Below are 14,175 nucleotides of genomic sequence, written 5' to 3' on the forward strand. Positions count from 1 at the left end.
ACCAAACAACAAACATTGTCAGATCCTTTAGGGGCTTGGTCATAGATCAACAGACTTCCTGTGGCCATAGCTAGAACTCAGGCCTCTTTTCAATTTGTTTTCTGATCCCCCACTCTTCATTTTATCATCATAAAGAACCCAAATTATTAATATGCCAGTAGGACAATTTTAATTTTTCACATAGTACATGGACTCACACTCAACATACCTGGGTTTAAATCCAGCTGCTGCTATTGTGTAGCTGAACTTCTTGAACTTCCTCTAAACTTTTCTGGCCTTGGAGTCCTCGTTAGCTTGAGATTTCTCATGTCCTTTATGCTCCAGATTCAGGACAACTTGAGATGCAGGCTTAAAGAAGAAGTAAGTACCAAGCTTGTGTGCTGCATTAATGCTCTGCTAAATGTCTGTGCTATAGGGATGAGTTCTAATCAGACTGACATAGAAAGAATTTCCCTCATTATTATGGGGTAAAGTTCATACATTACCCCCAGTACTTTAGAATGGGCTTATATTTGGAGATAGGATCTTTAAAGAGGTAATTATGTTCAAATAGGGTGGTTAGGGTGGGCCCTAATCCAATATGACTGGTATCCTTGTAGAAGAAAAGATTAGGACATTACCAGAGAGAGACAAGTGGATGCACAGAAAGATGACTGTGTGAACACACAGCAAGAAGGTGGCCATCTGAAGCTAAGGAGAGGGGTTGCAGAGGAAGCCAATCCTGCCTACATGTTGATCTCAACCTTCTATCTTTCAGAATTGTAAGAAAATGAATTTCTATTCTTTAAGCCACTCAGTCTGTGGTATTTTATTATGGCAGCCCTAGCAAACAAATATGCTCATTATACCAATAATCAACTTCCTTGGATAGAATGGACCATTCTTATGATGAATTTCATGCTGTAGCACGGGATGCATATGTTTAAACAATTTTGCCCCTAAAGTTAATAAACACTATATAATATGGGCTATACTCAGATATCTAAACATTTTATTCCTTCAAGTACAAACATTTGAATCAAACATTCAAAAACTCTAGATTTTAATATTAGCAAATAATAGATTCTTGGAATATTTAAAGAGCATGATTGAAGGATAAGCTGAATTATATGGGTCTATTGCATTTTTTTTTTGTTGAAATCAAATATTTGAATTTCATAATTTGGTTAAGAAAAAATATAGCAAGTACCATCACAGACATTTGGTTTTTAATGCTGTGAAGCAGTGGAGTGAAATTCTATCTATAGAGTAATAGCAACATGCTATTCTCTAAGGCTCCCAACAAATGTTCAAAGATGTAGAGTTCCTATATAAACATACCAATTCTAAATGTACACGAATGATTCTGTCATTGCATTCTAATTCTTAGTAACAGAATGTAGTAAGTAAGCATTCAGAGCCTAAGGTCTTTACTCACATACTAGGAACCTGAATCATGCACCCCCATCTTATAGTGCAGCTTTCATTCTGAAAGATTAAATCCTATTGCACCATCATTAATCAATTCTTCTCATAGCATTCCAGCAAAAATAATACAATGAGTATCAGGTTCTTTTTTGGTACATAAGAAGACAGGCATAGCTGATTTGCTAAGGCAGGAGGCCTGTTATATGGTGTTATCAAGACTAAAACTACCAAGTGTTTTCTGTTTTAGTCCGAAAAGATTTATTTTCTCTTTCCAAGAGAATGTGCTATGACATATATGCTTTCTTTAAAATACAAGGCCATGGCCAGGCATGGTGGCTGACGCCTGTAATCCTAGCACTTTGGGAGGTCGAGGCAGGCAGATCACTTGAGGTCAGAAGTTTGAGACCAGCCTGGGCAACATGGTGAAACCCTATCTCTCCAAAAAAAACAAAAACAAAAACAAAAATTATCTGGGCGTGGTGGTGGTCACCTGTAATCCCAGATACTCGGGAGGCTGAGGCAGGAGAATTGCTTGAACCTGGGAGGTTGAGGCTGCAGTGAGCCAAGATCTTGCCACTGCACTGCAGCCTATGTGACAGAGTGAGACTCCATCTCAAAAAACATAAAAATAAAAATAAAATACAAGGTCACTTTCCCATTTCTATGATCCTGCCTTATAATCAGTTATGTGCAGGGAAAAATCAAAGAAATTTCAACAGAATTAATATAATCTAAATTATTGAGAATTTATCAATTTTCCTTGTTTCTCCTTTCTTATGTCTCTTAGCAATAGAGAGAAATGAGAAGTTGTGTACCTTTTAAAAAATAAATGTGTCAGAAGAAAGAATCTCCTAGAAATAATGAGAAGTTTATGGAACTTTTTCTCTTTTGATCTTTAAAAAGAACACAAGGCCAAGTCACTGGGGAAAAAAAAAAATTCTATGAAACAGGTCCCCTGGGCTGTGAATCCATGGCCCCAGGCTATTTGTAATAAAGCATATAAAGTGTATAGGTTGCTCTGGTCTTTGAAGGTCTTTCAAAGATGAAATAATTCCATGACTTTTGACATTTGAGAATCTTTATGGGTGTGAAAGGGACCTAATTGAACAAGTGGGCTAAGCTGCCAGGAACAGAGATGGAGTAGCCATATTTTAACCAAGCATTGTAATATGGTCAATGGCAGCCATTAATTTATTTCTGCCAAGACAGATGGCCTTCTCCTTGATACCAATGGGGAAAAAATAATTAAGAAAATCTAGAGCCAGAATGGAAAAGATAGCTGTCTTTTGACAAGGTGATTCTTCAGTTTGCAATTAACAACTGATAAAATGCTATGCATGTTAACTTTGGGGAAGAATAGCTAGTCATTTGAAATACTAATCTCACTTTCTTTTCAAACTACCTTTTACTGGTATCTGCCCTTTCTGTCCCATCCTGTAAGTAGGCCATACATTTTATGGAAAACAATTTAAAAGAACATCAGTAGATATCAGCTATAATTCTAGAAACCTTTGTGCGGTCTTTGGTTTTACATATATGGTTTCAGAAGCAAATCCAATGGGCATTGTTAAGAGTCACATGGTTTAGCTTCCGGGTGTTAGAAAGCAAACTTCCACTCTTGTGCCCTACAGACACTCTCTTCACTGGAGTTCTCAAAATATATGATCCCTGGCCAGCAAATTATTATGTTTTTAAAATTATACTAGCTGCCATACATATCAAGGATGGCTTTTCATGGGGCAAAACGGAATCATTTAAGAATTACATCAGATCACAGCAGTAGCAAGTTATTCACAACTACCTTGAGCTGACTAGCAATTTTTTTGTAGCTTGGAGGTAAATGACTTTTTGTTGAAATTGAGGATAATAAATTCTAGCTCTCATTTTAGTAATGAAAAGCAGCTCTTCGTCTCCTCATCTTCAAGAATGTGCAGAGAACTAATCTCCCCTCAAAGGTCCTTTCCTCTGGCCAGACTAAGTTTTACCAAAAGAACACATGGTATTTCAAACATTGGAAGACTTAGCCTTCTTTTCTTCCTCCTCTCTTTCCATTCCACAAATATTTATTAAGACTTCATTTTGCCTTAAGTTGGATCCTCTGTAATTGCCATAATATTCTATTATTTTGACTTACAACAGTGGCTCTGGATACCCCCTGACAATGCATAAGAAAGAGGAGACGAGTAAGATACACAATCTGTCTGTAAAGATCTTATAAACAAGTTGACAAGCCAAGAATGAGGTAATGAATGCCCTATAACAATAATCCTTGATGCACCTAACTTGGGTGGCATTAAATAATAAAGGTAATAAGAGTTCAGAGATGGCAAAAATCCCTAGTACAAGAGTAAGCAGTGATTTCTTTTTGAATGAAGAGATGAATATAAATCTTAAAAGTACATTTGGAAAACAAGACATTGTATCACTGAAGCATTCTGTTTCTTATGCTTATTGCACCTGTGTTTTCTTCCTCATCTCAGCAGCCAGCTCACATCCTCAGAAGTTATATTGTTTCCACACTTCTCATGCAACACTGCAAAAATGGTTTTACTTAGGTACTATTCTAGTCACCTGCTTCATACAAGCCACTCTAGCTGTTCATACATCTTTTCAATCAGATTATAATATTTACCTATGACATTTTTTAACCATTGTCAATTCCATTAATTCTATTTACCTGTGAATGAAATCACTAAGACCATTAGATCAAATGGATTCCTTGTTATCTCCTACAACCACATTCTTTTACCCCATGGAAAAAAAAACACTTATTAAAGTATATATACAGCTATAAATATGTCAGAATATAGCAACATAAAAATGACCAACTGGGTCAGACACAGCACCTATCTTTGACTTGTCATTCTGGAAGTGAGCAGATTTTTTTTTTTTTTTGTACCCACACACCTGAAGATCATGACTAATTCCCCTCATTAACAAGAACTCCTTCAGGCAATGTTTCTAAGGGGGATAAGGTGGAGTGGGCTCTCTTGCTTAGAGGAATATAGGATGCTCCACTGGGAAGAGAAATACATAATTCAAAGAAGACCTTCAGGTAATTTTGATATTTTATTCACTCCATCTTCAGGTCCACACCACAGAAAATTATTACTCTACTGTACATATTTCTTCTTGATATCAAGCTCAGTGAGTACCAAAATATGTTCTCTTATCAATCTGTTATCTGAGAATGTATCTATATAATTTAAGGTTATCCATATTTCATAATACTGGTGTTCAAATGTCCTCCCAAATTTGCCAGCTGTTAAGTAAAGTAGCACAGCACCCATGACACTTAACCATGCTAGATTATCCATCTTTGTACCCGTATCTCTCCACCCACATTGTCAACTCCTATCTTTCCTGTCTTTACATTTCCAGCACCTGGGACAGAGCCTGGACTTTAAAGTTATATAGAACCACATTAAATTGCCATTTTTTGCCACTTAACTGTGGTTGCATAGTAGCAATTTCATAAGGTTCAACCTAATAATTGTAAGCCATGACTAATGAATAGAATTTTAAAAAGGATCTAAACATTCTTTTTTTTTTGAGACGGAGTCTCACTCTGTTACCCAGGCTGGAGTGCAGCGGTGCGATCTCGACTTACTGCAAGCTCAGCCTCCCGGGTTCACGCCATTCTCCTGCTTCAGCCTCCAGAGTAGCTGGGACTACAGGTGCCCGCCACCATGCCCAGCTAATTTTTTTGTATTTTTAGTAGAGATGGGGTTTCACCATGTTAGCCAGGATGGTCTCGATCTCCTGACCTCGTGATCCGCCCGCCTCGGCCTCCCAAAGTGGGATCTAAACATTCTTTAGGGCTTCAGGGAAAGGAAATGGGGGAGGGGAGGGAACTAAGATTTACTGAGATTTTGATGCAGTAGGTCTGGGATGGGACCCAGGAAGCAGCATTTTAACTAGTATTGCAGATGATCTTATGCAGATGACCCACGGACCATGTTGTGACAAATGATGCCTTTAGGGACACAAAGGGATAGGATAAGCTTCTGGTCAGTTAGAAGGCAGCAGGAGACAAGGCTACTCCCAACTCCTCCTTTTCATGCAAATCATCTTCATCCCATCCAGAGTAGGCTGTGTGAGCCAGAGTCAGAGAGGCCTGGGCAGTTTGCATGGCTGTCCTTAGCAGGTCTTATACTAGTATGCTTTTTTTCCAGAGGTATTTTGTTCTTTGGAAAGTCCCTAGCATCTTTGTGCCTACCAATTAACAATACCCCCTCCAGCCACCATCTGCACTGTGTATATGCAAGGTGGAGTCATTCAGCTCTTGCATTCCCAAGTAATCCTCTTTTAGGAAAAGGGTTCTCTAATGTGCTCAGAGACAAAAGCACCCAGAGGTCACTGTGTTCTTTGTTCAAGTGGCTGCAATGTCTGAAAACACAAGGGACTTCTTGACAGATTTCACAGTGTTGTGATTAATTAGTGCCCACACTTGACAGGCTAGGAGGACACCAGAATGATCCCTGCAGGATGGTGCAACATCTCTCCATGTCACAGCAGTGAGGGACAGGTGAATGATGATTTCTACAACTAGATGGGAGGTAGTGTAGAGTGGGCTGCAGGCTCGTCAGATCTCAACTTGCTTGATCCCACCTTCTAAGGTATACTAAAGGTGAAGGCTTATTCATTGAAAATCAGAGACACAAATCCTCCAAGGCAATGCATCACAGATTGTGTGGTACACTGATGGACATGCTGTGTTAATGACTGCATTTGTTACAGTTTGCACAGTGCATCCTGCTAGGCAGTGCTCATAAGGGACAGCACATTAAACTTATCATGTTATGTCACTGAACATATCATGCAATGTGATGTAGTATCAGCATACTATTCATTGCATATGTTTCCCAGGGTTTCCAGATTAATAGCTATCTTGAAGAATATAAAAAAAATTCATAGGTTTAATATACACATATACATGAAGGTAAGAAACATGTTAGTAGCAAAAAATGACAAATAGATTACCTACAAAAAGAAACACATGTATCTGCACATGTTTAAAAAAAAAAAGAATAAAACCTGTGCTCAGAGCAGAGGATTATCACAGAGGCCAGTAGTATAAGGCAAATATAAAAGGGCAAAAATTAAAAAAAAATTCTACTCTTCAAAAAATTTTATTTTTTATGTCTAAAACTGAGATGGGACTATCAAAATCTGAATTTCATCCATCCATGCATCCATCCATCCATTCAACCATCCATTTACCACCCAATACATATTGATTGAATGCAAACTATGTCCAGATACTGCCATAGACAGGATGTAATCATATGTAAAGGACATCCCAAGTTCCCTGTACTCACGGAGGTTAAATTCTACTGTGGGAGTCAGACCCAAACATACAAGTTTAAATCTGAATTCACGTCGCCATAAGCAGTGGTATAAATGTTGAACAAGCTTGGGAGTCGGAAGGATGTGATTTGTAGCTTTTGCCATAGTGTAAGTGCACCCATCCTGGACAATTTCAGTCTAACAATGTGATGTCACCGGATGAGGAGTTGGAAAGAGATGTGTACAGTTAACTCTCTGGAGCAGTATGAGCCAGCCCCAGCTCACCCTTGAATGTGATGTGAAGAAGCAAAGTTGGGTAAGGGGCCAGAGACTGCGGGGAATGGTGGATCTTTTAGGCAGGTGTCAGTCATTCTTTGATTAGTGACATTTGAACAGAGACCTGAATAAAGAGAAAAGAAGTAATAAAAATATGGCCAGTCACAGCGGCTCATGCCTGTAATCCCAGCACTTTGGGAGGCCAAGGTGGGTGGAATGCTTGAGGTCAGGCATTCGAGACCAGCCTGACCAACATGGTGAAACCCCTGTCTCTACTAAAAATACAAAAATTAGCTAGGCAGTAGTAGCGTGCCTGTAATTCCAGCTACCCAGAAGGCTGAGGCGGGAGAATTTTTTGAACCTGGGAGGCAGAAGTTGTAGTGAGCTGAGATTGCACCACTGCACTCCAGCCTGGGCGACAAAGTGAAACTTTGTCTCAAAAAAAAAAAAAAAAGGGTAATAAAAACGCGAGGCAGGGAGTTGAAGATAGTGGGGGAGAAGAGTGAGCACAAAGGCAGCACCGAGCACAGAGGAAGCACTGCACTGCAGCAAAGGTACTCTCTGCAAAAGGGAAAACAGGATGACCAGTCAGGAGTGGTTTGTATTCATCTAGGCAAGAAGTGCAAATCGCTGGACGCAGAGTGGTAGAAGTAGAAGTGATGTGAAATGCTTAGATTTGGGATACATTTGTGAGGTAGACTTACTTGAAGTCACCAATGGATTGGATGTGAAGAGGGTAACTGAGGAGTCAAAGGCAATCTCGAGAAAGACTCTTAGTTAGCTTTTGCTGATAATATATACCACCATTAGATGCAATGGGGAAGACCAAGGCAAAAGTTTGTGTAGAGGAAAAATCAAAAGCTCTGTTTGGGTCATTTTAGGTTAGAATTATTGACAGACATGTGGAGATGTCAAGCAGGTAGCGGGATATGCAAAAGTCTAAAGGTCAGAGGAAGTCAGGGATGAAGATATATGAAGATATGAATTTGGAAGTCATCCAAATATCGATTTCAGTGACTATGCCCTCAGTGCGTCATTTGAGAACCAATGCCTTAGAGAATAATGACAGAGATTCAGCCTTTAAGGGGCCCCTGGGGAGGAGGCAACCTTTTATAGAAAGAGGTGTGAATCATTGCCCCAAAATATCTCCTGTTAAGCTCTCCCTATTTCTGAAGGTACAGCCTTTAAAAGATAACCCATTTTCACCACCCGGGAAATGAGGAGCACCTCTGCCCAGCCGCCCCATTGTCTGGGAAGTGAGGAGCGCCTTTGCCCAGCTGCTGTGCAACCCTCCAAGTGTGAAGTGACAGCCTTGTGTGTGATCTTTCTGCCCTCCCCAAGTTTGCGTTTTTGACATTAAAGTTTACTTTTAAATTAAAAAAAAAAGATACTCCATTTTCATCATAGTCCTGTTAAAATCCATGTTAATACTTACTAACAAACTAATAGAGATTTCCCACCTGTCAACTTGACTAGAGAACTGGGTATTTGATGTTCAGAATATGGAGCAATGGTTCTTAACCCTCGGTACACATTATAATCACCAAGTAGAGTTGAAATATGCTGACACCTGAGGCCCATCCCAATGATTCTAGTTTAATTGTTGTGCAGTGGTGAAAAGTATGGATTTCTTTTAAGGTGTAAACTGGACAAGGGACAGGAAAGGTGGTGATGGAACCAAAGAGCTGAAGGTCTCAATAATGTTGAGGATACTTGCCAAATCCTCTAGTAAGAGAGGAGTTGTGATCTGCTTGTGGGGTGATTTCATTGTGACTTTGTAGGTGGTTCAAGATGTAATATGGGAGTGGAGATGGAGTAACGCAAAAGATCACTGGGGATAAAGGAAGTGCAGTTACTGAAGGCCAGGGTGTTGGGAAATTCCTAGGAGGTTTGGGGTATGAGGTATGATAGCAGGCACAGAGATGGAAGATGACTGAGCCAAAGAACCAGGAGTCAAAGTCTTCAATGACTGAGGAGACTAGAAGAACAATTATTTGAGGACAGCAAGAAGCAGCAGCAGGAAGTGTTTATTCAGGACTGAACCTGAAAGTTTCATATCCAATCAATGAGAGACTTCTGGTAGGTTTCCCTATCAATTATATTCTAAATCTGACAATTTCTCATCACTTCCACCACTCCACCCCACTCTAAGCAACGTTTGCCTCTTACCTAACCATGGAGAAGGAATAAAATGACCCAAATATGGTAGTAGAAAGCAGGGACAATACAACCCTCAAATCCAAGCCATGAATTTGCAGGAATCCAAAGAAGTGAGCAAAAACACATCTATTTGAAAGGGCTGCAGGGATGCAAAATCCTCAGAATGGGGTCTATATGCAGGGAAGGCTATTAAGTGGTATATTCCAAGAAGAGGAGAGATTGATGATGACAGACTGTGAATTTGAAAGGATTTTCAGAGGATGAGAGGGGATGAGAAATTGGGCCACATACGAGTTTGCTGAGACGTGTGAGATTAAGAGATTTGGGTACTAATGGATTTCCAGCGCTGCTTAAATTTCTGGTGTTAGCTAAGGGAAAACATGTTAGAAAAGATGTGATTAGTCTCATAGCCTCTTAGAGAACAGTCCTAGGGTGATGGTCTGAAATATTCTAATTAGCCATATGGCAGCTTCCAGGGCTGCGGGCCCCTCACAGAGCATGTGTTCGCAAAGTGGCCCACGCAAGGAGCACTGGGTGATATGGTCATCGGACTGGGCCATGGCCCTCACGAAATACAAGGATGAGAACTTGTGAATAAATGTGTGCAACCAAGCTTCATCCATGGATGGCGATGCAACAGGAGGGCCACTTGCCAGTAGAGTGGGAATCACCCTGGTATGCATTACTGAGTAACACATCCAGTTAATGACACTCAGCAACAGCTTGCTCAGCAGAAGACTTGAGTCATTTTAACAAATAGAAGGCTGGGTGAATTTCTGTGAGCTCTGACAAGTACAAACTGTTTTCTTAGACTCGTTGAGGACTGAGTGTTGTAGTTGCCTCATCACTGTGGTGGGCCCTGCCCTGAAAATGAACATGCTTACTGCACCAAAGGTTGACAGCCACCTGTGAAATATAAAACAACCTTACTCCCTGATTTGTGAAATTATTTATGTTAAAAGTTCTACAAAGCTATGTACATAGAGATAAGGCTGGAAGGAAATACTCCTAAACGTAGTAATGTTACGGATAATGTATTTTTTTCTCTTTATTCTTTTTGGTGCTTTTCTCAACTTTCTACTATAAGGTCATAAAACTTTCAAAATTGTGTGGGGGGAGTTAATTATAAAGTATAAATATTCAGCCGGGCACGGTGGCTCACACCTGTAATCCCAGCACTTTGGGAGGCCAAGGCGGGCAGATCACCTGAGGTTGGAAGTTCGAGATCAGCCTGACCCACATGGAGAAACCCCATCTCTACTAAAAGTACAAAATTAGCCAGGCATGGTGGCACATTCCTTTAATCCCAGCTACTCAGGAGGCTGAGGCAGGAAAATTGCTTGAACCCAGGAGGCGGAGGCTGTGGTGAGCCAAGATTATGCCATTGCATTCTAGCCTGGGCAACAGGAGTGAAACTCCATCTCAAAAAAATAAAATAAATTAAAATAATTAATATAATATAATATAATATAATAAAGTATAAATATTCTACAATGGCATTGAAAAGGAAATCTGGGCTGTCCTAAGCCATCCATGTTGTCTGGCTGCTGTCCTCTCCCTCCCTGTCCCCCTTTCATTCTGGCCTCCCCTCTGACCTGTATGTGTATTGGGCCCCTCTGGGAGAATTCACCAATTCTTAGCAAGTGCCTTTCCCTGAAAATTGCTTTCTGACCTACAAGGCTGGGCCCACAGCATGCACATGTCATGGCATAGCTCTGCCTTCTGACCAAATCAGCTAAACCAGAAGATAGAGTCCTTCTTTGGTAATTTTAATTTATCACAGAGATTATAATTGGGTTTAAAATATGTTCTTGAACCAAAGTGACAAACCTTGAGCTCTGTGGCAGCTACCTTCTGCGATGGGGCAGGAGACACAGAAAACTGGCTTGCAGAAGGGACAGGATGAAATTTAGCAGGCAGAGAGAAAAGGGATGTGGCACAGGGATAGCATTCTACCTATGAGGATCCCTGTTTTTAGACTTCTCAGAGATCTGCCATTACCGCAATATGCTTACACCACTTGCTGAGTGTCTGCCGCTCAAGTTAGCTCCTCTCACTTTAAACTAGAAAGTTCCTGTCTCTCATCCCTTCTCTCCCTCCTTCCATTGCTGAATTAAAAATTTAAAAATTCTTTAATGAAGTAAAAACTCATTCAAGTTTCAAACAAGTGATCTTCAGAATATAACCACTTAATAAGCAGGGAGCAATTCAATACGTCTGTGTGTGTAGTTTTATTTGGGGAGTAGAGTTTAGAAATCATTCCAATATTATACATCACTATGCATTTGTTTTACTCATGTATCTACTGTGACAAAAACACAAAAACTGCATTTTTGGGGTGGGAGTAGTTTTTGGAAACTATGAAGAATAAAGTTACAGCCCTACTATAGCCAACATCACCATGTTTTCACATCCCCAAAGGCCCTACTACCCACACTGTGGCCCCCATTAGCCCACACGTCATACTACAATTTATATGCTATTGATCATGAGAAATGCAGGCCCAAAAACTACCTTGAAGCAAAAAAAATAAAAATAAAAAATCTTTTTCTCTTGACTCCCCCCTTCTCCATGCTATAAAATATATTGCAGACAACATTTTCCTGCTGATGGTTAATAAGTGAAGGACAATTCAATATCCAGTAAAGGTGATTTATTTTATCAAGACTGTGACCTGCTGCCCAGCTGGGAAGGATTTACAAGAAATAAGAAGACACATGACAAAGAAAAGCTGAAGTTTAGAAAATTCCCAAAGACATAAAGCAAATAAGGAAAATAAGTAAATACCAAAATATTTCTTCTTAGAGGTCTTCCAATACTGGTGTGTTCTCTCTTATGCTGAGTAATGTAAAATATGTCCTTCCAAATATAACTCTCAAGCACTTTTTTTCCCAAAAGCAGCTTACTTTGAGCACACAACCCTCTCTATCTTACACTCCTTAACAATCTAAAAATGCTGTGTCAAATCTTTTCACTGTTTTTTCTCTGCCCACAAAAAGAGGATATTTTGATCATTTTTAGGCAGTAAATTCAAGGCCTATATTCCCCCATTCTGTAGCATTTGGCTTAGGGGAATCACTATCTTGTTTCCCTAGAAGACAGAACATAAGGTGAGTGAATTTGCCTTTTCCAGCCACTACCCTGGCTGCCCTAGGAAGAAGAGAGTTTCCAGTTAACGGGAGGAAAACTGCACATTAGAAAAGGCTGCCACAGTGGGCCTGACTTCTGCTCCGCACAGCAGCACACACCTGGTTCATACTCAGCCTCTCCTTCTCCCACTTGCCTGACTGCCTGTGTTCCTGGATCAAGTGGCAAGTTTGCAGTCTTCCTTGAATTCCCCCAGCACTGTCTTCCTCGACGGCACTTGACAAAGCGGAGAAATGAATATTCTGCTTCCTAATGAGAATACACAGTTTTAAAACATCTTCTCCTTCCCTAGCACTGTGAGTTGGTGCCATTAGCTTGTCATGCTTGTTTTTTGTTTGTTCATTTATCATGGAAACTCATTTCTTCCACTTTGAAACCATTAGGTTCACATGTTTGGCATTTTACAGATCCTCTTGGCAGAACCTCTTGGGAAGCACAAAGAAATAAGTCCAGAGTAGCCCATTAGTTTTATGTCTTAAATATCTCTTCAAACAGTTCACTTCCTTCCAATGCCTCCATACTATTGTACCCTCAACTCTAGCCTGGTCTATAGAACTATCCTCTTCTCTGAATTCTGTGTTTCTGGCTGGCCTATCTCTTATCTACTTTCAGCAACCAGGGTAAACTTAATTATATTTTTTTAAATTTTAAAATAATTTTAGGCTCACAAGAAGTTGTCAAATCATGGCAGAGATTTCCGTGTACCTTTCACATAGCTTTCCCCATGATAATATTCTACATAACCACATGCATAACATTCAGGAAATGGATATTAGTCCAATCCTATCAACTAAACTCAGAGTGATCCTATAAAAATGCAAACCTGGCTGGGAGTGGTGGTTCATGCAAACCTGGCTGGGAGTGATGGTTCATGCCTATGGTTCCAGAACTTTGGGAGCCTGAGGTGAGAGGATCACCTGAGCCCAGGAGTTTGAGATAAGTGTGGGCAACATAGTGAGATCCCATCTCTACAAAAAAGCTTAAAAGTTAGCTGGGTGTGGTGACACACAACTGTAATCCTAGTTACTCAGGAAGCTGAGGTGGGAGGATCACTTGGACCCAGGATTTTGAGGTTAAAGTAAGCTATGATGGTACCATCACATTCCAGCCTGATCAACAAAGAAAGACCCTGTCTCTAAAAAAGAAATGAAAATATATAAATAAATAGATATGAAACCTGACCATAACACCCCTCCCCTACTTTGCTAAAATGTATTATAGCTTCCCATCACTCTTAGAATAAGGACCAAAATCCTTAATCTGGTCCACAAATAGTCTGACCAGCACTTTGGTTTGGCCAAGACAGTTCTGTTTCCCACCCGCTGTCCCAATGAATTATCCCATTTTACATGTCAGCACCCTCAAAATTGTGGTAGTTTAGATAATAAATTATGGTCATCCCACAGTGAGCTCTGGATGGTCTGGTCCTGCCTACACAGACCTGTGGCTTTTGTTTTACACCTGTCCCCTTCTCGGTCTGAGCCCCTGTGACACAGACCCCCTTTTAGTCCTCAGGATGGGAGGAGGATGCATAAAAGCCACAAGACCTTTGCACATGTTGTTGTCTCCGCTTGGAGTGAATACTATTTCTTCCCCCTTCACACCCTCTCCCTCTCTCTCCTTCCCCCTTCACCTGTCAGCTCCTACTTGTCTTAGCTCAGAGAAATCTTCCACAGACTAGATCACATCTCTCTATTAAATGCCCTCAAACACCCTGAGCCACATCTTTGAATTGCTTATTACAGTTGTAATTTGACATCTGTGTCTATACATGAAGAGTGAGCTAAAAGAAGGTAAGGCGGAGTATTTGTGTTTGTAGAACATCACATCCCCGGAGCCAGCATGAAGCTGGTGGACAATTACTTTATAGTTATCGACTGAATGGATGACAGCTTA

At 40.3% G+C, this 14,175-nt stretch overlaps 1 protein-coding gene across 17 annotated transcripts in view; it reads right to left on the reverse strand.

The window, feature by feature from the left end:
• NCKAP5 (NCK associated protein 5) overlaps positions 1–14,175 on the reverse strand; it is a 1,003,049-nt gene that overhangs the window by 665,210 nt on the left and 323,664 nt on the right. For 2 of the 17 annotated variants that reach the window (XM_047444128.1, XM_011511102.3), the window contains exon 2: positions 209–348. The exons of the other annotated variants lie outside the window; for them this stretch is intronic. The gene's annotated coding sequence lies outside the window, so the exon portion shown is untranslated. The remainder of the gene's footprint in view (positions 1–208; positions 349–14,175) is intronic. 17 annotated transcript variants of the gene reach the window in all.

This window comes from Homo sapiens, chromosome 2, assembly GCF_000001405.40.
Source record: "Homo sapiens chromosome 2, GRCh38.p14 Primary Assembly".
Classification (NCBI taxonomy): domain Eukaryota; kingdom Metazoa; phylum Chordata; class Mammalia; order Primates; family Hominidae; genus Homo; species Homo sapiens.